Genomic DNA, 25465 nt, shown 5'->3' on the forward strand with positions numbered 1-25465 from the left:
GATAGAATCTTGGAAAGGTAGGCGAGGACTGGATCCATGTGGCTTTGGAAGCCACAGGAAAGCAAACAGACTTTATTTTACATGTAATGGGGGAATGGAAGGGCTTTAAACAGGGAAGTGACATGCTATGATTTATATTTTTAAAAGATGATTTTGGTACCTGGGTAGAAAACGCATCATGGGGAATGAAAAGTAAAAATAGCTCAGCTGTTGCAGCACTTCCAATGGGAAATGAGAGAGGTTTGGACTGGGTGGAACTGGAGAGAACGAACAAATGCATGATAGGTATCTCGTAGGTAGAACCGGGGAGACTTGTTTGTGAACTGGGCATGAGGAATGAGAAGGCAGAGAAAGGACGTCTCTGAGATTTTTGGTTTGAGCGATTGTGCAGATGATGGTGTCCTTTAATGAGATGAGAAAGACGGGCCTCACTCCTGGCCTCAAGTGATTCACCCGCCTTGACCTCCCAAAGTGCTGGGATTACAGGTTTGAGCCACTGTCCTGGCCAGGAAAGAGGTTTAATTGACTCACAGTTCAGCATGGCTGGGGAGGCCTCAGGAAACTTACAATCATGGCAGAAGGGGAAGCAAACATGTCCTTCTTCACATGGCAGCAGGTGAGTTAGGGTTAGGGCATGAGATTAAAATTGAGTGGTTTAGAATTTGTAAGATCTGAGTAAAGTATTCAAGTGGAGATGTCAAGCTGGCAGCTTGGAAGTGCCTTTATGCAGCTCAGGATAAATGCCAGAGCTAAAGATATTAGTTTGGCTGTTAACACCATTTGATAGTATTTAAATTGGTTGAATAATATGGGGAGATGATAAAATATTCAAGATGATTTATCCTCCTGAAATGAGTGTCATGTTGGATATAAGGTTGACTATATCAGTGGGATAATGTATAATAAGACCACTTGTAAAACTAAGAAGCATTGTGCAAATGCAGTTTCTATTCACACCGCCATAACATTTGGGCCTCCCACAGCCCTGGTAATTCTAGGATCTTTGGTTCTTTAGATATCGTTCCAGGTACAAAATCTCCTTCCAATTATATATTCACATCCAAGTTTCTTAGAAGATGCTTGCCCTTCAACTTTGACTAGAAAGAATTTCTTTAGAAAGAATTTCTGCCAAGTATCACAAGTTTAGAGAACAGGGATAAAGCTATGGGTTATCTTTTGTTTTGGTTGAAAAAAAATTTCCACGGTGTTGTTTTAGCCTCAGCCCAAAAGGACTAAAGTCTCTAGGACTTTTTTGACTTGCATTGGAGTTTGGAGAATGTATGGCATTTAATTTTTCCAGGAGAATTTCAGCTGAGGCCAGATTGGAACTCTCCATGGCTCTAGGTAAACAGTCAATATTTTATCCCTGTGATGCTCTGGAGATTATGATTTAGAAGCAAGACTGGCTGGAGGCTGTGATCTACCTGGCCAGGAGCCACATGACAAATGAATCCCCTTTCAAGGAAGCTGAGTATATATTTTACAAGATTTAGCTGGGCAGCAGTGGTGGTGATAGGGATAAATTCAAGGGTAGTTATTTGAATTTCAACAACACAGAATGAGATTCTCATGAGCTGGGAGGGATTCCCATGAGTTGGTCTTCTAGATCAACTCACTAGTTTACTATTTGAGGCTATTGAGGTCCAAAAAGGTTAAGTGATTTTCGAAAGGTCACGCACCTGGTTAGAACTATGTTTTCCAGACTCACTTTGTCATACTTCTCCCAAGCAGCAAACTCCTACGTACCCTTATGTATACATTTTAATGGAAGTAGCTTTTCAAGAACAAATTGATCGTGAAAATGAAGGTCTGTCTCCAGGGTCACAGTGCCTTGACTTGGGCCGTGGTTCAGACCTAGAATAATGTGGTTTGGACTAGTCTGGCTGTGCCCAGAGCTGCAAGAAAATTGGGTAGTGGGTCCCTAGTTGAAAGATATGCATAATTTCAGTGTCATATTTTTCAGGTTATTGTAGATAGAGCTATGAGGATTTACTCATTAACTCCTTCTTTCATTCAGTTTTCTACAATGGGCCTGGCTCTGGGGATACAGTGGTCAGTGTATTAGTCTGTTCTCATGCTGCTAATAAAGACATACCTGAGACTGGTTAATTTATAAAGGAAAGAGGGTTTTTTTTTTTTTTTTTTTGAGACAGAGTCTCGCAGTGTCACCTAGGCTAGAGTGCAGTGGCCTGATTTTGGCTCACTGCAACCTCCACCTCCAAGGTTCAAGCTATTCTCCTGCCTCAGCCTCCCAAGTAGCTGGGGTTACAGGCATGTGCCACCATGCCTGGCTAATTTTTGTATTTTTAGTAGAGATGAGGTTTCACCATGTTGGCCAGGCTGCTCTTGAACTCCTGGCCTTAAGTGATTCACCCACCTTGACCTCCCAAAGTGCTGGGATTATGGGTGTGAGCCACTGTTCCTGGCAGGAAAGAGGTTTAATTGACTCACAGTTCAGCATGGCTGGGGAGGCCTCAGGAAACTTACAATCATGGCAGAAGGGGCAGAAAACATGTCCTTCTTCACATGGCAGCAGGGAGAAGAAGAATGAGTGCCCAGTGAAGGGGGAAGCCTCTTATAAAACCATCAGATTTCATGAGAACTCACTCACTATCACGAAAAACAGATAGGGGAAACTGACACCATGATTCAGTAATCTCCACTTGTTCTCTCCCACGACACATGGGGATTATGGGAACTACAATTCAAGATGAGATTTGTGTGGGGACACAGTCAAACCATATCAATCAGTAAGACACTATCCCTGAATGTAGGAAACTCTTCCTATGACCGGGGAGATAGACATGTAATCAAGCAGTCGTCATGCAGAGAGTTGGGGAGTTTTGCTAGAAGTAGGCAGGGAATATACAATAAGGTAGTTAATTCAGACTTGGAAGCTCAGACCAAGAAAACTTCCTAGAAGAGGCAGTGCCTTATCTGAGACTGGAAAGTAGAAGATGATTTAGTGGGAACACATTTGAGGGGGAGGATGTAGAAGGGCATTCCGTCCAGTGGGAGTAGTACTGCACAGGGATGTTGCATGTTATGAGAGCAGCAGCCCATTCATGCGGAGCTGCAGAGGGAGCCAGGGCCAGGCCACAAGGCCAAGGAAGCCTGGACTGTGTCCTGCAGGCTCTGGGAAAGTTGAAGGACTGGAAGCTCAATGTGAGCCTATCTGCATGTGGGAAAGTCCACTGTGGTTGCTATGGGGAAAAGCACAGGGTGCTGAGTGGAGGCAGGGAGGTGACTGAGCAAGTTGTGTACATGAGGCTGGTGAGGATGATAATGTCGTAAAGTGGCATGGCAGTGGGGAGAGAAAAACCAAATCCCCGAGGGAAGGGAGGACAGCCATGTTTCCAGGAGGAGGATGCAGCTCTTAAAAACCAATTGGGCTTGGGAAGTGTAAATTAGAGTGGTTGTATCTATTTCTAGATCCCTTTACTGAGCCCTGCTATGTGCCATCACCTGGCCACACACCTAGCATTATGTTTTCCATTTAATCTGTCTCACCGTCCTCCAAAAGCAGGTGCTGTCATTATTCCCTGTTGTGGACTGAATACTGTCTCTTCCCTGCCAAATTCATGTCCCCCATGCAACCTTGGAAATAAGGTCTTTGCAGATGTGATTAGGTTAGCTTAGAATTTTGAGATGACCCTGCATTTAAGATGGACCTGAAATCCAGTGTCTAATGTCCTTGTAAGAAGAGAAGAAGACACAGACACAGGGGGACAAACATGGAAAGACAAGGGCAGAGATGGGAATGATGCTGCCTCAAGCCAAGGAGTGCCAGGAGCCACTAGAGACTGAAAGAGGCAAGGAACAGTCCTCCTCTAGAGCATTTGGAGGGAGGGTAGCCTGCTGACACCTTTATTGTGGACTTCTAGCCTCCAGAACTGAGAGAAAGAATAAATTTCTGTTGTAAAGCAACAAGTCTGTCATAACTTGTTGCAGTAGTCCCAGGAGACTAAGCCGTGCTCATTTTAGAGATAGGAAAAACCCAACCTAATGCTTAGGGAGGCATATTCTAAGCTCCAGGTCACCTGACTAGGAAATCATCGGGCAGGGATGTCAACTCCTCATGTCACCTACCATCTGCGTTTTGGTGTTTTTTGTTTGTTTTAGATGGAGTGTCACTCTGTTACCCAGGCTGGAGTGCAGTGTCGCGATCTTGGCTCACTGCAACCTCCACCTCCTGGGTTCAAGTGATTCTCATGCCTCAGCCTTCTGAGTAGCTGGGATTACAGGCACACGCCACCACGCCCAGCTAATATTTTTGTATTTTTAATAAAGATGGGGTTTCCCTGTGTTGGCCAGGCTGGTCTTAAACTCCTGGCCTCAAGTGATTCTCCCACCTTGGCCTCCCAAAGTAGTGGGATTACAGGCTTGAGCCACCACACCTGGCCCATCTGAATTCTTAACCACTCTAATTTTTATGCCTCCCCCATATAATAGCTAATATTTACTGAGTGTTTACTCTGGGTCAGGGACCCCTTTAAGCTTTTGCTTTGATTATTTCATTTATCTTAAGGATTATCTTGCAAGACATACATTCATTTGAAAATATGAACAGGACTATCGCTACTTAGAAGAATGGTCACCTATTTTTTGAAAGTCTGGGCTTTTTTTCCCCTTCTTTTTAAAGCTTGACTCTGGCATCTTATTTGCCGAGGGGAGATTTTCCACCTTGAGGAGCTAAGCAGTATGAGAGGAAGTGTCAGGCATGTCAACCATCGGCTCATGAAACATTTCATCTTGTAATACGTTAATAGAGAAAACCGAGGTGATTTTCAGCCCATTCCAGTAAATTGGTTTTAGCACTAATGAATTGTTCTGTTTGAGCAGAGCATTATTGGCAAAGGTGACACTGAGGCATTTGAAACTCCATCAAAAATTATAATCTCAAAATAAGAGGCTGGAACATGTTTTGTGTTCTATTAATGAACATAGGTGGTCTGATCAATGCTTTTAGTTGGCAGCAGATTAAAGTATGGATTGTTGATGTGGCAAAACTGCAGATTGGCTGCCTTGCTACCTGTTGCTTCTGATGACCTCATTGCAACATTTATATTCAAATCTGATCACTCAGAGCTTTAGTTGTCAGTGGGTCATAAATTTCACCCAGTTCCTTTGGCTGAATTTCAAGCATGTAAACCATGTGCTAATAGCAAGAATGATCGGAAAGACAGTTGTAGACAAACAGAGCATGAAGAAAATCATTCTTATTGGAGGATGTGGCAGAAACAATTTTCTTGTGCTAGGCAGACGTCAGCTCTGCGGAACTGGCCATTAATGAAGATTGCGCCACCGATCGGCTGTAACCCGGGGAGGAGAATGGTACCTTCTCCCACATCCCAGCCCCAGAAATTACGGGATCTCATGGCCAGATGTCTCTGGAGCTAGTGGCATGGCTATACAGAATGGCCAGAGGGAATTTTTACAAGGGAAAAATATGGGGCTGGGTAAAGGGAGAAATGAGGAAGAGAACAGTCACCATGCACAGAGCATTTCTGTGTGCCAGGCACTGTATTCACCTCACTTCATCTAACAATGGCCCTGTGATGGATGTATTAGGTTGAACTGTATGAAACTGCCATTCTTATAGGTCCAGGATAGCTGAATATCAGCACTTTGGTTTAGTTTACTCTATGCTGTTACTAGCCCTATTTTGCAGCCAATGAAAGTGAGCTTTCCCAAGGTCACAGGCCAGAAAGCTAATGGCAAGACATGGTTAGCTCTGGGGAAATCAACACCCTGTCATCTTCCTCCTCCTCCTTCTGTTTTTCTTCTGGTGGGCTTTAACAGGAGGGTGACATGATCAGATGTGCACTCTGAAGACTCCTCTGGGTTACTCTGGCAGGTAGGTGGGAATGTGGGAGGGGATCTGGATGGATTCCAGGAGACCCTTTAGGAAGATGTTACAATACTTTAAGCAGAGTGACTTGGTAGCTTAGACCAGAGTGATATTGTGAGGGACGTGGGAGTAGGGGACTAATATGACAAATATTTAGAGGTGAAAATCAACAGGACATGGTATTTGATGAAGGTGACTTATCTTTCTGACTTTTCCTCCTCACTCTTCAAATCCTGGCTTGAATGTTCCATGTTCTACAAACTCAACACCCTGGAGTTTGCCTTTGGCATCTTTGCTTGACTGTGAGCTCCCTAAGGGTGGGGATCATGTCTCTTATTTATGACTATCCTTAGGACCATTATAGTGTGCAATATATAGTAGGTGATATTTGTTGGATAAACAAAAGAATTTAAAACAACCGATCAGTTACAAGTCAATGCACTCCTACTTGTAGCATTGGACACCCATTTCCTTAACTCTGGATTTCTTTAGGTGAGGACAGTCAGAGGTGGAGGATAATCCCCATGAGCTACGCTATACTCATCTCCCAATTTATTTCTGTAGCATCATCTGAGTCACTCTGGTGGGGCTGCCTGGAACTTAGCAGCCTGTTACTCAGTGTTCACATTTTCAGAGCATATTTATTCATTTAACTCAGCTAATTTGGATCATTGCCACTAAATTTTTCTAGATGGCTTAAAGAGGAACATGCTGACCCATACTATATGCTAAATCGCTTTTAAACAAGCGAAGAAGTTCTGTCGTCTGCAAAATAAAACATCTTTCCTCAGGGTTAGTTCTTTTTCTTTCTTATTTTACTCCCCAGGTATGCTTTGAGTGGGAATGTGAGGAGTAAGAAGAACATTGAGTTTGAAGAATCTTTATTGCTCTAACAAGTAAAAGACCCTTTAACAATCACATTGATTTTTTGTTGATGGATGTAAATGGTCTTGGAAGTAAATTTTTACCCTGGGCAAGACCCACTTGGAGATGTCAGGGTTGTACTGCAGTCTTGTAGGACATTAATGGGGAATGAAGGAAGACAAATTTTACCATGGAAGTAACAATTCCAGCTGATGAATTTCTCAAAGGGACAATAGGAGTCTAGAAACTGACACCCACATGGAGACATTTTTCAAGCAAAAGGGACAATGATCTGGTTGCTGGCTTCTGTGGGCAAAACATCAGGAATGGTGCAGTGACCTCAAAACATGCAGAAGACCCGAAAAAGGAAGGTATGCATCCTCATGGAAGATGGTAGACAGTATAGACAAATCCAGGAAAGTTAGATTCAAACATGCTCACTGGAAATGTTTCTTTCCTCTTTTTTTTGTCCTCAGTTTATCTCAAAGAATTGTGGAAGATTCTACCTCTTTAGCCTGTTGATTAAACCTGGTTGTCTCCCTAAATGGTCCTCTGGATATATTTGTATTTCTGGGGAGATCAACACCCTGTCCTCTTCCTCCTCCTCCTGTTTTTCTTCTGGTGGGCTTTAACAGGAGGGTGGCTTGATCCGATTTGTACTCTGAAGACCCCTGTGGATTTCTCTGGCAGGTAGATGGGGGTGTGAGAGGGGATCGCTGTGATTCCAGAAGACCCTGTAGGAAGTATTGCAGTACTCCAAGCAGAGTGACTTGGTAGCTTAGACTAAGTTCTTCAAGTCCCTCCTCCTGTCCATCCCCACCGCCAAGATGACAGTCTAGTTCTCACAGCTGGGCTCCACGTGGCAGAGGGCACTGTGTATTAGGTGGCATGTGGTCTTGGGTACCACAAAGATGTAGGCTGACATCCCAGCTTCCCTAGGAAGTGGTCTTTTCTCCCTGAGGCTCCGTTTCCTCATCTGCAACATGGATTACTAACAACTCCCACACAGTCATCTTGTGAGGAGTCAATGGGATAAGTGATCTGAATCCATACCAGCACATTTCCTGGTATGTAGAAGCACCCAATAGATGCTAATCTCTAAGCAAACAAACCATCACGATCAACAAAAGAGGTAATGCTGTGACTACCGCATGAGCCCCTTGGCTGGTCTCTGCGTCCAGTAGTTTCTCTTTTCACTTCGCAGCCACCCCCTCCCCACCTACAATAACCTTCCCCTCAAAGGAGTATTGTCCTGCCACCTTCTTGGTGAAGGCAGTGTGTGTGATTATAAGAACTCAGAGCCTGGAGTTAGGCATGAGGTCAAATCCTGGCTCTGCACCGTATAAGCTGTGTGACTTTAAACCTATTACTTACCTTCTCTGAGCCATTCCCTGTCTCTCATCATTCAATGTCAATCAATCAATCAATCTCTCTCTCTCTCTCTCTCTCTCTCTCTCTCGACGCAGTCTTGCTGTTTCACCCATGCTGGAGTGCAGTGGCATGCTTTCAGCTCACTGCAGCCTTCACTTCACTGCAACTGAATTCAAGTGGTTCTCCTGCCTCAGCCTCCCGAATAGCTGGGATTACAGGCACCCGCCACCACGCCCCCCTAATTTTTGTATTTTTAATAGAGACGAGATTTCACCATGTTGGCCAGGCTGATGTCAAACTCCTGACCTTGTGATCTGCCCGCCTCAGCCTCCCAGAGTGCTGGGATTACTGGCATGAGCCACCGTGCCCGGCTGCCATTCTCTCTTTCTAGACTGTGTGGCCTCTCATCAGCTTCTCTCAGCACGTGATGTTATCCTCCCACTTTTCTCTGCAGATGGCAGTGAACTGGCTTTGCCCACTGCTCAGCCTCTTCTGTGCTTGGCATGGCATGGATACCCATGGCCGAAAGTGGCCACCACCCCTGTTTCCTGTGACACTTTTCATTTCAGGTGGCCTCCATGCTGCTCTGGCCTTTTCCCACTCATTCTGTGTAGAGTGACTGTGATTGGTTGTTGATCAGCCAATGGAGTGGGTCGTTCTGGGTCAGCTCTCACTTCCTGTTTAATTAATTGAATCTGGGGGTGGAGTCACATGGGGGAACAGGCTATCATGGGAAGTGAATCGAGGTCAGTTCTTAGACAATTGGCTGGATATGTCTTTTGACATCCTGTTCTTAAATTGAGGGGTCATCTGGTTGTCAATAGGGGCAGCCTAATTTTTGGAAATTCTGAGAGCTAAGCCTCCGCATCTTCAACTGTGAGGGATGGTAAAATTAGACCTGGACGCTGCATGTTTTCACCTTCACTAGACCCACGTATGGGGTTGTCAAAGCTTTCGACTCTAAACTGTTCCTCAAACTTACCTCCCAGCTGGGTCAAAGAGAGAAAGGAAACACCGTCTGTGTTCCAGAGGCAAAAAAACTGGAATAAGGTATGTTTGGGACATTATGCCACAAAATAGGGCTGTTCATTGAAATATAATGAACAGCTGGGAAATAACTATCTCTCCTATGTGGGCTGTTAAACAGAGCATTTCCCTGAAAATTACCTTACAAAGAAATCTTCTCACTTTCCAAGCCAGACACACTGTGTTTTCTGGGTCTCCTCTGTGCAGGCAGGAGACTGGGGTGAAGACCCCATGGAACTGCACTGAGTGGGTACTCTGGGGCTGCAGCGTTTCATAGCTGTTGAAAACCAAGGATCCTGGACCCTCCCTTTGGCGTTGGCTACCGTGTAGCAGAGCTCAATGTGAGATACACCCACCCCTAAATGACTAACTTGCTGGTAATAAATTAGCTGAGCACACGTTTTGTAAGTGCAGCAGATAGTTTTTTGAGCACAAATTCGGTGCCCAGCATTGCTCTAGGCATCTGGGATACATTTAGGAGGAAAGCAGATAAAGATCTCTGTCCTCGAAGACATTTTTATTCCTAAAGCTGGCATGATCCGCCTGCTACCTGCCTCTTCAGCTTGGAATACGTGTCTCCTCCCACTCTCTACTGCAGACCCCCTGGCTGCCATAACCCCACCGTCCTCCTTCCCACCACAGGGCCTTTGCACGTGGCCAGGTCACAGAGGTATTGAGCTGCACGGGACTGCCCCAAAGACTGGACACGTTACCCCAAACTGGGATCCTGTGTGCATCTGGTGCACACTTCTAGCTCTGAATCCCTGGGGTCCCAGACGAGGCTACCCAAAAGTCACAAGGGGGCCTGGAGCATCCCCTGCCCAAAGCCCCACTCCCGACAAGGCATCAGAGCCCTGCAGTCCTGTGCAGCTTAGTTGCTCTGTAATTGGCCTTTCCTCTTCCTGAAATGCTTCCCCTGCCCTGCTTTCCCTAATGACGCCTACTTATCTGAGCCTCCTCAGAGAAGTCTCCGCCACGGCTGCCCCTCATCTCTTCAGGTTGCTTTGTTATTGTGCATTCTCAGAATTGTGCTTCTTTCCTTCACAGTAGCACAAACCTCAGTTTCTGTTTATGTATATTGTCATGATTCTTTGATTGCCATTGCCTCATATCAGACCCTAAACACTACAAGGTTTGGAGAGGTTAACTAAGTTGCCCAAGATCTAAAGGGTCACAGTCAGGATTTGAACCCACATCTATCTGGCCCCATGCTTTCTGTGCAGTCTAATATTGACTTGGAAATATAGAACTACATGTTTCACCTCTAGCTTTGTTTTTTGAGACAGGGTTTCTCTCGGTTGCCCAGGATGAGAACAGTGGCACAATCACAGCTCACTGCAACCGCAAACTCCTGGGCTCAAGTGATCCTCCCACCTCAGCCCCCCGAGTAGATGGAAACACAGATGTATGCCACCATGCCTGGCTAATTTTTTATTTTTTGTAGAGACAGAGTCTCACTATGTTGCCCAGTCTGGTCTCAAACTCCCGGATTCAAGTGATCGTCCCACCTCAGCCTCCCAAAGGTCTTGGATTACAGGGCTGAGCCACTGCACCCAGCCCACCTCTAGCTTTGTACATATCCCCTTCTAATTTACTGAAGCTATGCAGAGCTTTCTACATGCATTTAGTGGTGTAAAGATAATAATAATAGCACCTATCATTTGCTGAGATCTATTTGCAAGGTACTGGGGTAAGTGCCCTGCATGCATTGACCACTTGGATCTGAGAAAGCAGGAACTATGTAATTCACCTCATTGTGCAAATAAGAAAGGGTTGGGCAGGAGAGGTGGCATGCCCAAAGTCTCTCTCACAGGCAGGATTTGAGCCCGATCCTTGTGAATTTCCAGCCTGTGGCATTGCACCTTCAATTCTGTCTCCCTCCTGACACATTCCACCTTGAAGAAAAATGCAAATGAGGTAACAAGGGGGCAAGTCTGAGGCTCTGGGTCCTGCTTACATAAACAGCCCCTGAGATTTATGAAGGGTTCCAGGAAGAAGAGTGATCGATTGGCTGCAGGCTTATTACTCATGGATTTCTTTGGCCTGGGCACATGCAGACCACAGGGAATTTGAGCCAGTGTGGAGGGCCCCTTCTAATGGTTCTCTCATGCTCGAACCCTGCTGCGGTACAACCAGGGGAGCTGCGTGTGGGGCGGGCCTCTCTGGCATCAAAAGGCGTTGGCGCTGCTAGGAGAGGTTGAGCACATCCCTTTCTTTCTTTGTTCTCTGGAGTGTACTGTTTTGCTTGGATTTATGCAAATGGCTCCACAGGGGGATCTCAGTGCCAAGGAAAGGAGAAAGGATTGTTCTCTGAGGTCAGAGTCAGGGAGGAAACTTGCCACCACCACCGCTCCGTGCTGGAATTCGGCTCTGATGCCTTGCTGGGAGTGGGACTTTGGGCAGGAGTTGCTGCAGGCCCCCTTGTGACTTTGGGTAGCCTCGTCTGGGACCGCAGGGATTCAGAGCTAGAAGTGTGCACCAGATGCACACAGGAGCCCAGTTTGGGGTAACATGTCCAGGCTTTGGGGCAGTCCTGTGCAGCTCAATAGCTCTGTGACCTGGGCAAGCTCAAGGGTAAGCTTGTCCGAGCCTCAGTGTTCTCATCTGGAAAATGGGGCTGATCACGGGCCATATCTGTCAGCATGACTGTGATGATTAAATTAGGTCACATGTAACCTGGTTGGCCAGTGCCTGGTACAGAGTGGGCACTCGAGGAATGGCAGATATACACTCAAAATATCCAACGGATTGAGTCCCTGAACCACAGCCTCCTGTTTATTACTGTTGAACAATATGGAGTCTGTCTGATGTGAGAGAACCAGAGCTCTTCTTCCTCTGCTCTGATTGGTTCCAGTTGTTAATTTCTAAGACCCATTTAATTCCACCCCCACTTCACTCTGAAGAACAAAGATATCCTGCTGAAGGATCAGGAAATGAGAGATAGAAAGGAGACCTCTCAGAGAGCGATGATTTGTAATGACCCATCAACAGGGATAATCTCCACTGTGGCGAAAAATAATGAAACATCGATTCTCAGAACCTATTAAAAGTCAGATTTATATGAGAATTTAAAAAAGCAATTAGTCTGCATTGAAAACTAATTAGTACCCCAACCCTGCCTTTGAATGATTTGATGGGGGAGGTTATTGAGGGCCTACTAGGTGCAGGAACTTCAGAGGACTCAAAGATGGAAGGAACTCCACTTGTCGGGAAGGTGCTTCTTGTACTTTAGAAAGAGCAGATAGAAACAGAAATGACTATTATTTAAGAAAGAAATAGATTCTTCAGTAGAAGTCTACGTACAATGTCATGAGGCTTCAAAGGAAGGAGAGAGACATCGTCCCTGGTTTTAATGATAGGCAGTGTCTCTTATCCTGTCCGGGTTCCACATACGGATACCTCTCAGCTCATTCATTCCGCTCTTTTTTCGTGTACCAGGCTACCTGAGCTTTCTCTCCAGCCCTTTCAAGTTTTACTTTGCATACTCTCTGGGTGGGCTTAGTCATGCCTACAACTCCCAGCTGCCCACGATGTGTTCTGATACCTACCTTCCCTACCTCTGGGCTTCTCCCTGAGCTCCAGCTGTATGGCTGTCTCTCTGGGGATCAAAATAAAATTCACCATCAAATTGAAGATCAAATTCACCATCTCCCTCCACCCCCAAACCCATTGCCTCTTCTGGGTTCCTCTCCTAGGTTAATGCCATCCCCATGGGCCCAAGCCCCCAAGTCTTAATTCCTGATTCTGATTTATCTCTCTCTCTCTCTCTTTTTTTTTTTTTTTTTTTTGAGACAGAGTCTTGCTCTGTCGCCTAGGCTGGAGTGCAGTGGCACGATCTCAGCTCACTGCAACCTCTGCTTCTCGGGTTCAAACGATCCTCCCACCTCAGCTTCCCAAGTAGCTGGGATTACAGGCATGCACCACCACGCCCAGCTAATTTTTGTATTTTTAGCAGAGATAAGGTTTTCTCTGCTGGTTTCAAACTCCTGGCCTCAAGTGATCCACCCGCCTCGACCTCCCAAAGTGCTGGGGTTACAGGGGTGAGTTACTACACCCGGGCTGATTCATCCCTCTATTCTGCCTCTCACATCTGATTGTCACTGGATACTACAGATTTCACTTCTTAAACATTTCTTGAGACTGCTTTCTCCTTTCATTCCCACTGCCTTTCGCCAGGACTGTTAGCACCCATTTCAACAATTCCCATTTGTTCCTCTGCCTTTCACCTGCCCTGCCTTACCTGTCCCTCATCCACACTGCTACCCAGTGACCTTTCTGAAAAGTAAACCATAAACCTTGACTTTTTTTTTTTTGAGACAGAGTCTCACTCTGTCACCCAGGCTGGAGTGCAATGGCGTGGTCCTGGCTCACTGCAACCTCCGCCTCCTAGGTTCAAGCCATTCTCCCGCCTCAGCCTCCTGAATAGCTTGGATTACAGGCGTGCACCACCACACCTGGCTAATTTTTGTATTTTTAGTAGGGACGGGGTTTGCTCAGGCTGGCCTCGAGTTCCTGATCTTGTGATCCACCTGCTCGGCTTCCCAAAGTGCTGGGATTACAGGTGTGAACCACCACGCTCTGCGAAACCTTGACTTTTTTACTTGAAATGTTTCAGCATGTCTTCAAGGCCCTTAGGGTGATTCACTGCTCCTGGGCATTTCAGTATATCCTCCTGCTATTGGGACTCTGTTTACCTCTCTTACTTTGTCCCTTGCAACTTTCTAGCAATTCCCTCCTCTAATCTTTTCAGTCGATTGATCAGTCAGTCAGTCTATCCCTACCTTCCTCCTTTTTCTCACTCCATCTATCCATATTTATCAAGCTCCTACTGTGTCCCAGCACTAGACTAAGAGCTGAGTTTATAGTGAGGAAACAGACATGGTCCTTGACCTCCTCAAGGTCACAGTCTAGGGAACAGACTGTTAATATACAGACAACCAATAACTAAGTGTGAAGGGTTCCAGGAAGAAAATGCAGGGTGATATGAGAGAGATTGATGGGAGTAGGGAAGTGCATTAAAGATCTTAGATTCAACTAAACATTTAGATTCATAAGAATACCATGGCACACTCTTAGCATCACATACTGTAGAAGGATAGAGGATAGGACACCTATCCCAGCACTAGGGCAGCACTAGGCACCCCTCTTCATCAACAATTCATGCTCTGGTGTAAGGAAATGACCCCACATGGGTCAGGTGTTGTTCTGCCTTGGCTCAGAAGCTACATGCATCATAGGAGTCAATATATCCTCTTAATACACCATAGGCAGAGCTCTTAGAATCCCTGCAAGTAGCATCCCATTATGAGTAATGGCATCCAAAGCACAGCACCTCATCAGGTACTTATCATTCATTTGTACTTCTTCCCAGACCAGGTGCAAAACACCAGTTAGAGATCAGCTTTACTCTAAGCAATGTTGCCTAAAAATATAATTGATATCCTGACTACTTACGTACGAGGGTGACAGTGCTAGGAAGTTAGCCGAAGGGTAAGTTCTCATGCAGAAGGAGAAAGGGTTTTGTTATTTCTTTGCCTGCTGGGAGATTTTGTTGGGGTGGTTGGTGAAGGGAGTACTTAAGCTTAGTTCCCAAGTATGAAAAAGATGGGGGAGGAACATTCTAGGCAAAAGAAATTGAAAGAGGTTGGTGTGTTCCAGGAAGGGTGACTAAAGAGAGGGAGGGAAAAGGAGAGTCATAGAAGATGAGGCCAGAGAGGTGGCTGAGGCCAAATCGTGCCAGCCTGTATGAGGAGTTTGGGTTTTATTTGAAGTTTGGATTTTATTCCTCGTTCTTGTTGACTCAAGGTGAAATGCAGTTTCTCACTGAGAGAACAGGCACTTCCAGCCTCCTAGGTACAGAGATCTCTGGCCGAAGTCCTTCACACTTCCCTCTGGAGGGAATAGTGTCTATCAAGAGATATTCCAGTGTTGCATTGCTGTGTAGCAAACCACCCTAAACTTAGAGGCATAAAACAACTATCTGATTAAACTCTTAGAGTCTGTGGGTCAGAAGTTTGAGCAGGTGTGAAGGTTAATTTTATTAATGTTTATCAACTTGGTTGGACCACAGTGCCTAGATATGTGGTTACATGTTATTCTGTGAGGGTGTTTTTATCTAAGGCATTAATATTGAAATTGGTAGGTGGTGAGTAAAGTAAATTGCCCTCTACAATGTGGGTGGGCTGTATCCAATCAGTTGAAGGCCTGAATAGAAGAAAAGATTGACCTCCTTTGAGCAAGAGGGAATTCTGCAGTAGGTGGCCCTTGGACTTGAACTATGGCATCTACTCTACCTGGGTCTCTATTTGGTTATCCACCTTGCAGATTTAGGATTTTGCAGCCTCCATAATTATTAGGTAAACCAGTTCCTTAAAATCTCTCTCTTTCTTTCTTTCTTTTTCTTTTCTTTTCTTTCTTTCTCTTTCTTTCTTTCTTTCTTTCTCTTTCTTTCTTTCTTTCCCTTTCCTTTCCTTTCTTTCCTTGCTTTCTTTCCTTTCTTTCTTTCTTTTCTTTCTTTCTTTCTTTCTTTCTTTCTTTCTTTCTTTCTTTCTTTCTTTCTTTCTTTCCTTTGTTTCTTTCTTCCTTCCTTCCTTCCTTCCTTCCTTCCTTCCTTTCTTTCTTTCTTTCTTTCTTTCTTTCTTTCTTTCTTTCTTTCTTTCTTTCTTTCTTTCTTTCTCTCTCTCTGTCTGTCTCTCTTTCTTTCTTTCTCTGTCTCTTTCTCTCCCTATGTCTCTCTTCGCTTTCCTGTTGGTTCTTTCTCTCTAAAGTACCTTGACTGATATAACAGGCCACAATCAGAATGACTTGACTCTACTCCACATGTCTTGGGCCTCATCTGAAATGACTTGAAGACTAGGCCCAGCTGGGGTTACTGACCAGAGTGCCTTCACATGGCCTTTCTGTATAACTTGAGCTCCCCATAACACAGTGGCATGTTTCCAAGAGGGAGTGCCCAGAGAGTGAATTTCCCAAGAGACCAAGACAGATATATGGCTTTTTATGATATGGCTTCAGAAGCCGCCTAGTATCACTTATGCCATACTCTGCTGGTTGAAGCAGTCCTGAGCCCTCCCAGATTCAAAGGAAGGTATATCACTCCACCTCTTGATAGGAGGGGTATCAAATCATTTAGGGTCTTGTTTTCAAAACCACCCCAAGGAGGCCTTGGAGAATATTTGAGATTCTTTCTTTCATTCTTACCTAAGGTAACCACATACATTTTCAGTATGCCTTTTTTCTCCCTTAGGTTTCTATGATATTTTACTCATCTGGATTCCCTTCTCTCACGCAGACCCATTATTTCCCTTTTTACTCTCCATGCATATGATTTTCAGCAACATAGACAGGCAGCCCTTTAGCGGTCACTTTCATTCTCTTTGCCCATTCTCCTAATAGAAAGATGGCAGCATGGACACAATACTGACCAAGAAGTGAAATGCAGGGTGAAGGGTGCTTGGCTAGAGAACCCTGGTTTCGAGAAATAAATTCTTGAAATAAAGGTGATTGGTGTTGGAACATTAAAATTAGCCTTTGACTATATCCTTCACGTTGGGGTGGCAATTCAGAGCATTAACCTAAGGCTTCCAGTGTTTTTATCAGGCATTGTTCTAAATAAATTAAATCTCATGATTTTTGTTGAGTTTCATAATGTTAAGAATATGAAAGTAATATGTGTGCAATGTGAAAAAAATTGGAAAATGGAGTAAAATACACAAGAAGAAATAAAGACAACTAATGATAATATTATGGCATATATCATTTTTTTAAAAAAAAAACGTGCTTAACATGAGGTTATGCTATCTATAGTCAAAAAACTTACAATACCTTAAGCCCATTTCTCCATGCCACTAGACAAAATGTTGAAATGTCATTTCAACAGCTTGCATAATATTCAATGATATGAACGTGCTATACTTCATTTAACCAATCCTCAAATGTTGGATATTTATTTCAAGGTTGTGTTGGGTTTTTTGACTCATGTAGGGAGAAAAAAAGTGAAACTCGCCTTGTCTGTCATCATGTTTTCCACCTCCCATGGGTTACCTTCTTTTCGGGGAACGGATTTGAAAGGTTGGGTTGTGGAAATAGAATCATTCTTGGTAGTCCCTGAGGGTCAGTGATGGTTCTATGGTGATGATGATGATAGTCATGATAGCAATGATGTTTCTGATTGATACCACTTATTTAATATGCCCACCCACTTGTTCATTTTAAAGACCTACACATCATCCTTGCTTTGTTCCTTTTTCTCACCTGCCACACACAGTCACCAAGACCTGTCAAGTCAGTGTATGAAATATTTCTTGAATCTGCCCATTTTCTTCCCATTTCCTTGGATACCTCTCTTCTCTTGATTTCTTTAATAGCTGTTAGCTGGGGAACTTTCTTCCAACTAGGATGGCCCCTGTGAAGGGCAGCCCTGGTCATGTAATTCCAATGCTTGAATCTCATCCCCCTTGGAATAACACCTAACCCCTTTCACATGGCTCCTGAGACCCCGCCTTGCCTCAAGCCACTCCCCACTTCTCTTCTCCAGCCATTTTAAACCTTTCTTGTCTCTAGCACATTCCACCTCTAGGCCTTTATCTTAGTCCGTTTGGGCTGCTATAACAAATATGGGTGAAGTGGCTTAAACAATAGAAATTTATTTCACACAGTTCTAAAGGCTGGGAATTCCAAGATTGAGGTGCCGGCCGGTTTGGTTCCAGGGGAGGACTCGCTTCCTGGTTTGTGGATGGCTGTCTTCTCACTGTGTCCTCACATGGTGGGGAGAGAGATCATCTGTCCCTTTATTTATTTATTTTTTGAGACAGAGTCTTGTTCTGCCACCCAGACTGGAGTGCAGTGACATGATCTTGGCTCACTGCAACCTCTACCTCCCGGGTTCAAGATCCTCCTGCCTCAGCCTCCCAAGTAACTGGGACTATAGGCATGCACCGCTATACCTGGATAATTTTTATATTTTTAGTAGAGATGGGGTTTCACCATGTTGGCCAGGCTGGTCTCGAACTTCTGACCTCAGGTGATCCATCTGCCTCGGCCTGTCAAAGTGCTGGGATTACAAGTGTGAGCCCCTGCACCCAGCCCATCTATCTCTTTTTATAAGAGCACTAATCCCATTCATTAGAGTTCCACTTTCATGAGCTGATCACCTCCCATTGGACCCACCTCTGAAGAGCATCACATTGAGGATTAGGGCTCCATCTGAGGAATTTTGGGGCCACACAGGCATTCAGTTCCATAGCAGCCTTTGAGTTAACTCTTTCGTCTGCATGGAGCACTCTTTCTCCTCTTTCTTAAGTTGTCTTAGTGCAGATACTGCTTTCTCCAAGAAGCCTTCCAGGACAATGCACCCACCCCTGTAACTGGGTTAGGTGCCCTGCTGGGGCCCAGTGTGACTATCTGTGTGGACTCACTTCCTGGTACTTATTTTAATTGTTGCAGAATTTTGTCTTTCTTTCCACTGAACCATGAGCTCTGTGAGAGTAGGGTTCCTTCTTTCTTCCCAGCAGATTTTAGCCTTGTGCCCTACACATAACATGCCCTCCTTAACTATATGAATAAACGAAAGCCATGACTGCCATTTCTTGGCCAAGCCCACTCACAAGATGAGAACTCTGACCCACTTACAAGAACCAACTTGAATAGCCTCCCCTCTTTGCTGTCTTGGGGGTAGAAAATTGTCTTCTGGGCAGAAAAAAATGCTTTAAGAACAGAATAGGAGATCATTTGTGTAAATCATTAATCTCTTTACTATTTCTATTTGCAATGGATATCAAATTAAATATTGCATTAAGTGAATTAAATATTAATGTTGCATTAAATATATATTACATTTTAAAAATTAAGTGCTGGATACTCTTTGCTTTGGAGTTGGATTATGATGGCTTTAGCACTGTCAGCCCAGCATGTGCTGCATGTAGTCATTTTCTATGTCATCGATGAATCAATGATTTATTAGAGCTCATGGGAATAAGAAAAAAAACGGTGGGGAGGAAGGGGGTTGAGGGTCTGTGGATGGGTGGTGTAGCCGGGAGGGCACCATAGCACAGCGAGAGTTGATGTTTGAGGAATGAGAAGAAATGAGAAGAAGTGGGAAGCTATATAATGTATTGTGCTGTGCAATTTACATGGATTATCTCATTTAATTCTCATTAGAGATAAATGAATCAGGTACAGTTATTATTTTGCCTTACATAGGTGAAAACTGAGCCTCAAAGGTTAGGCAAGGCCTCACAGCCTAGACTGGGCCATCCCAGCCACATTCTTAACTATGACCCTCTACTGCTCTTGAAGGAAGTGCTTTCAGGTTGCCATGAATCCAAATAGGCAACTGGGTTTTAAGGAATTTTAAGTTTTGGCTATCTGTATTCCTAACAACAGGAGAATATAACAAAACTTAAACCTATTCATCTCTGCCTTCATGCATCCATCCGTCCATCCATTCACCCTTCCACAGTATTGGTTCTTACTGAGTTCCTGATGGGTACCAGGAATGGCCAACTCTGGGGATATAGTAGAGAACAAGGTAGATATGATCCCTCTGCTAATGGATCTCATAGTCTTGTGGCAGAAGCCAAGAGCACCTGGCTTCAACTCTTCCAGGCTCTTTTCTCCTCCATCAAGATGCTTCCATCTCTGTACCACTCTTGGCCCATGTGATGTTCCATATCCCATATCTCTGAAGAGCCAGGGCAGATGCTCCCTTAAGGGAGATCTCTGCTTCCTTGTTGCTCACCATGCCCTGGCCTCTTGGTGACTCTCAGAGTCTCTGGTGAACCTCCCCTTTTCTTGGCGATGGAGTTCCCACATTCTAGGCAGTAATGACATATGATCTCCACATGTGGACATGCATTGGCATGTAAACCAGATATGACCCTTGTCCTCTGTGCTTAGGGCCTCATCCTAATCTCAGATCAGCTGCTCCTCATCCCATCTGCATGGCAGATATAGCTCCAGCTCGCCTATTCAGATGGGTCTTCAGGCTTGACTGCATCCCATGCAGTGTGGTGGGTTTTGTGGGACCCCAGGTGGATTTTGACACAGAGAGAAGACCCTTAGCACTTTGCTAAACCACCTGGAAAGGCTCTCAGGTCCCCAGATCCATGCTTCCGTTTAGACCTCCTCTCTGAATCCCAGGCTCACGTGACCAACCGCCTGACCACTCTAAATGGATGTCTCAAGGCCATCTCAAATGCCGCATGTCCACTTGTCTCATGTCTGTGCAACACTTTCTCACGATCCCCCAATTTTTCCTTCCCCCACAAATCTTTTTCAGTTTATTAATAAGAATCGTCCTTCACCAAAAAAGCAAGTCGGGAAATGAGAGGTCATGATCTTAACCCTTCCTCCCCGACTCACAGCACACATACACACATGCACGCACACACACGCTCACACACGCACCTGCATACATTCACACCATGACCTACCAGCAAGTCCTCTTGATTCTGAGCTCAGAGACTGCTTACACTGAGATGAAATGTGAGATTAACAGCTCCAAAATATTTCTCGAGTCTCTCTCCTTCTCTTCATCCCTTCCAACAACACCTTAATCTTCACTGCCTCTCCGTGTCGCCACTCCGAGTTCTTTATGACAAAGCTTGATTTATTCTCAGCTGCAAAGACATTCCATGGCCTCCTTCCTACACTTGCATGTTTAGTTTTCCTGTTTTGTCTGATTCTGTTTCCTAAAAGTCAATGATGAGTCTCTGGATGGGGAGACAGGTAAGGAGCTAGGAGTGTAAAGTCGGCATGTTTTTAGTGTAAAGTCGGCATGTTTTTAGTGTAAAGTCGGCACAATGCCAAATGAGAACCTCAGGTATATGAGAGACTCAGTGGACAAGAGGGGTCTTGGAACCAGAATCAGACAGAGAAGGTTTGAATCCCAGCCCACTGACTTTTGCAACCCTCAGACCTTTACTTCTCTGTTTTCATGATTGTTGAAGCAGGAATAGTAATAATCTTGTGGTCTTATCATAAGGACTAAACGTTTTAATTCTTGTATAATGGGATGGAGTTTACCATTATCCCATCTACACCACTGCACCTCCCTCATATTTTAAGGGACTTGTAAGTTTCCTTTGAATAAGGAGAGGGCACCATTGAAAAGAGGGGCACATCACATAGATAAGTTTTGTTGGGGTCCTGCAGAGGCTCAGGGCCCAGGAGAAACACTTCTGTGCTACCCACAGTCCTTGGGCAGCTGATGGTTGTAAAGGACTCTTCCCAGATGATGGTGAGGGCTCGGCTGACAGTGCTCCTTGTCACAGCAACATGCTTTCCAGTGAAGGGTGAGGAATGTTCTGTAGGCATTTGTTCTGCAGCTTCCTTTAGATATCAAAAGGGCTGACTGCTGTTTCCTCCTCTTTTCATGCCTGCTAAAGTAATCCTAATCTTCCCTTAGGCGAGGAAGATGCCTCTGAGTGATGAAGATTCACATTCGAGGAAGGCACAAAGGAAAAGCACAGAGATAAATCTGAGTCCTAATCCCATTGCAGGAGCGGAGCACATCACCTGGCTGGCACTGTTTTGGCATCGCGTAGTAGCGATTACACATATTGTCACTTGTCATCAGGAAGGGGGGTGGGTGGTGAAGGGATGTGCTCAGATGTCAAGGTTGAAATTCTGCTCATGAAACGGATGACAAGGAAAGGAATGTCTGCAGAAATACTTCCTGTCTCATTTTCTCTACTGGGGTGGGGGTCCCGTCATTTCCAAGGGGCTCCTGCAGTTTTGCATTCTTGGTGTGCCTTCTATGAGATTGCAGACTGGAGAGGAAAACAGAAAGCCAGCTCCCAAGGTGACTGAACCCCGTCGTGGTCTTGCTGTTTGCAAGGTTAGACCAGCAGAGAATGGCTGCATCTCTAATAGTGGTGCATAGAGTGGTAACATCTGAACTTGTGCAGAGTTCACTGGTTTATTAATTCAAGAGTGCAATTAGAGGCTCGATGATCTGCCCCGCACTCTGCCGCCTCTGCCTCTCCTAGCGTTTCCCACGCCTCCTTTCCCCTGGAGGCACTCATTTCTAGACTTGGAGAGGCGAGGGGGTGGCTGAGGAAACCAGCAGGCTGGCAGGGAGGGCAGGCACCTAATTATTGTGCTGGGCACTGTTCAGAACTAAAACTTTGGGCCCTGCAGCTGCAACCAACCAGGCTCTGATGAAAGTTTCATGCAGTTTTTTCTTCCCTTTAAAGCCTATTGGGACATTTTCAGCTGAGGAAAAAGGGGCAGAGTCTGCCTTAATCCTTGCCTGTCCCATATTTCTGCCTTTAAGTGGATTCAAGCCCGAGCCTTGTAATTATCTCAAAAATAGACCTGGTGGCCACGGTGCATTTGGTGGGTTTCCTTGGCAGAACCTAATGAAACAGTGTAGTGAGGAGGAGATAGCCTGCTGGCAGGGTGGATGGATGGCCCTGTGTCTGTTAATCTCACATTTCATCTCAGTTTAAGCAGTCTCTGAGCTCATTAATTGTCTTTCTGAGAAGGGCCAGGCATTTATCTTTGAGAGCCATCCAGCTTCACTGAGCTCATAGAGTCTAAAGAGAAGGGACAAGGGGTAGCTATCTACCCAGTTCTACTGAACAAAAAATATATAGCTAGACAGGGCAGATGGCTCTTGATCTATTTTGCCTGGTTGCCCACCAGAAAGGTGGCACCAATTTCCACTCCCACCAGTGGTGTAGGAGGGTGCCAGCTCCTCACACCATCACTGGCACTAAAGATTACCCGTCTCTTTTCAACAAAAGGTGGAACGCTGTGCTTGCCTACATCCCATGAGCAAGCATAAAAGAAACCCAGCGAGTTTCTTTCTTTCTTTCTTTTTTTTTTTTTTTTTTGAGATGGAGTCTCGCTCTGTCACCCAGGCTGGAGTGCAGCGGCACTATCTCGGCTCACTGCAAGCTCCGCCTCCCGGGTTCACGCCATTCTCCTGCCTCAGCCTCCCGAGTAGCTGGGACTACAGGGGCCCGCCACCACGCCCGGCTAATTTTTTGTATTTTTAGTAGAGACGGGGTTTCACCGTGTTGGCCAGGCTGGTCTTGATCTCCTGACCTCGTGATCCACCCGCCTCGGCCTCCCAAAGTGCTGGGATTACAGGCGTGAGCCACCGCGCCCGGCCGAAACCCAGTGAGTTTCTAATGCACATGGAACACCTGTGTGTTTTAAAGAAGCAGGATACACAATAACTCAAGTTTTACCAGAGTATAAAGTGGCCCTTTACTTTGTACATTGTGATAGTTTTGAACTACCAAATTCCTAAAAATGTGGTATTTTTAGGAATTTTGGATGCTGATCAGTAGGGAAATAAATACATTATGATGCATCCATGGCATGGAATTCTACGCACCTGTTAGGAAAGAAGGAATTGGTGTCTCCACACTAAGGGCTCTGGACTGTGGTCCCCTGGGGACATTTGGCCTCTTCTGGAGTCCTTTTTGGTTGTTATAATTGGAGGAGGCGATGTAAGAGTGGCATTCGGTGGGTAAAGGCCAGGGGCACTGCTAAAGGTCCTACAGGCATGGGACGAGCCCCACGACAAAGAATAATCTGGCCTGAATTTTCAATGTTGCTGAAGTTAAGAAACCCAGTTATCCATGATTTGTCTGGGAAAGGTGTTCATACTAAATTGATACATTTATAAAAAGAAAGTGAGCAGATCAACATCTAATCCTTGGTCCATTTTTAAAAAATGAAAGTATTTTTGTGTATGTATATATACATAGATGATAGATAGATATATTTTTGCATTTTTAGGAAAATGGTTAGAAGAATACACGTCAACCTTGCATCCCTGGTTGTACTTCCAGGGTTGAGTTTGGAGAGTAGTAGGGAGTTTTCTCTTCCTTTATAATTCAAAGAGGATTGGTTGGTAACATAATACGGATTTTGTTTTTTATAAATCCAACTGACACCTTACTTTTCTGGGATCACACATACTGAAAATGGATTTTTGCAGGGCAGCTCAGTGGCATGAAGTGCGTTGCTTTTCAAGTGACTGTTCTATGAAGCTGATCTCTTTATTCTCCTCTGTCTGCTGTTAGTTACCATTGAGCTTAGCAATACTAGATTTTGAGTTTCTAAATGAAAAAATAAAATGAAAATAATACAGAGAAATAAATGGATCCAAGTGCTTAAAGATGCATAAAAGTGTTTTAAACCAGTTCATGGTGGCCGGGCGTGGTGGGTCGTGTCTGTAATTCCAGCATTTTGGGAGGCCGAGGCAGGCGGATCACCTGAGGTCAGGAGTTTGAGATCAGTCTGGCCAACGTGGTGAAACCCTGTGTCCACTAAAAATACAAAAATTAGCCAGACGTGCTGACACACAACTGTAATCCCAGCTACTCGGGAGGCTGAGGCAGGAGAATCGCTTGAACCCAGGAGATGGAGGTTGCAGTAAGTCAAGATTGCACCACTGCACTCCAGCCTGGGTGACAGAGTGAGACTGTCTCGAAAAAAAAAAAAAAGAAATAATAAAAAAAAATCCACTTCATGGCAACAGCAAGATTACAACACCCAGAAATGCAACCACTGTGGGAGGTCTATTTTGAACAAATTTGCTTTCAGCCAAATTGTGTTCAGCAGAACAAAGAGAGGTGTCCAGCAGCCTTTGAAGAGCCTCTCACTGCCATAACCAGGCCTGGGAGAATCATGCTGTGCACAGCTGCAATGGATCAATAGCCCCGTGATGGACCAGCAGGAGGAGGGAATCAGGAGGTGCCAGGGCTTCAGGCTCAATGGGCTGGGAGAACGGGGATGCCTTCTGGGTGCCAGGAGGGGAAGGAGGCACAGCTGGGGAGAGAGGAGAGCTGGGCTTGGGCTGTGTGGAGTTGATAATGTCTGTGGGACACCCATGTGGAGAGGCCAAGAGGATGGTCCGTTGAGTCTGGTGCTCAGGAGAGCAGTTGGGACTAGAACTGCACAGTCAGGGGTCCCCAGTGGGGTAGACATTGGGGTCCAGATGCCATGGTGAATGATTCTCTTGGAGGGCAAAGGGCAGACCCTACGGGTTGTTTGCATTCCTAGGATAGGCATAGAGAAAGGAGGAAACGCCTTAGGAAAAGATGTCAGAGAGGGGACACGACAGAGCTTGAAGAAGGGAGAGTCACTGGAGAGCATTCTAGTTGTGGACTAAGCTCTCTGGGTGGGCAGGGAACCCAGGCACTGAGGAGTAGATGACAGGGGACCAAGGGTCCTTGCATCATCTCCTTCTCCTTCAGAGCTGTAGCTTTATGTGGATTTTTTTGCAGCTCTCTCAGTACAGTGTTCTCCTCCCCAGACTGTAGGGCGCCACGAGAGGCCTCCTCTGTTTGTGCCCCATCATGTCTCCAGCATTCAGCCCAGCTGTGGAGGGTG

The 25465-nt window shown here is 45.2% G+C and overlaps 1 protein-coding gene across 4 annotated transcripts in view, besides 3 other annotated features; it reads left to right on the top strand.

Moving 5' to 3' along the window:
- The window catches only part of RBFOX1 (RNA binding fox-1 homolog 1), a 2473620-nt gene that overhangs the window by 199516 nt on the left and 2248639 nt on the right, over positions 1-25465 (top strand). The gene's annotated exons all lie outside the window — the stretch shown is intronic.
- Positions 7522-8090: an enhancer, noted in NCBI's record as "OCT4-NANOG hESC enhancer chr16:5496759-5497327 (GRCh37/hg19 assembly coordinates)". NCBI's record gives its function as "activates a minimal SCP1, AML or CMV promoter by ChIP-STARR-seq in naive and primed H9 embryonic stem cells {active_cell/tissue: H9 hESC(naive and primed)}" and the evidence as "EXISTENCE:reporter gene assay evidence [ECO:0000049][PMID:30033119]".
- Positions 10894-11616: an enhancer, noted in NCBI's record as "OCT4-NANOG-H3K27ac-H3K4me1 hESC enhancer chr16:5500131-5500853 (GRCh37/hg19 assembly coordinates)". NCBI's record gives its function as "activates a minimal SCP1, AML or CMV promoter by ChIP-STARR-seq in naive H9 embryonic stem cells {active_cell/tissue: H9 hESC(naive)}" and the evidence as "EXISTENCE:reporter gene assay evidence [ECO:0000049][PMID:30033119]".
- Positions 11617-12338: an enhancer, noted in NCBI's record as "OCT4-NANOG-H3K27ac-H3K4me1 hESC enhancer chr16:5500854-5501575 (GRCh37/hg19 assembly coordinates)". NCBI's record gives its function as "activates a minimal SCP1, AML or CMV promoter by ChIP-STARR-seq in primed H9 embryonic stem cells {active_cell/tissue: H9 hESC(primed)}" and the evidence as "EXISTENCE:reporter gene assay evidence [ECO:0000049][PMID:30033119]".

The sequence above is a fragment of the Homo sapiens genome, chromosome 16, assembly GCF_000001405.40.
Source record: "Homo sapiens chromosome 16, GRCh38.p14 Primary Assembly".
NCBI lineage: Eukaryota > Metazoa > Chordata > Mammalia > Primates > Hominidae > Homo > Homo sapiens.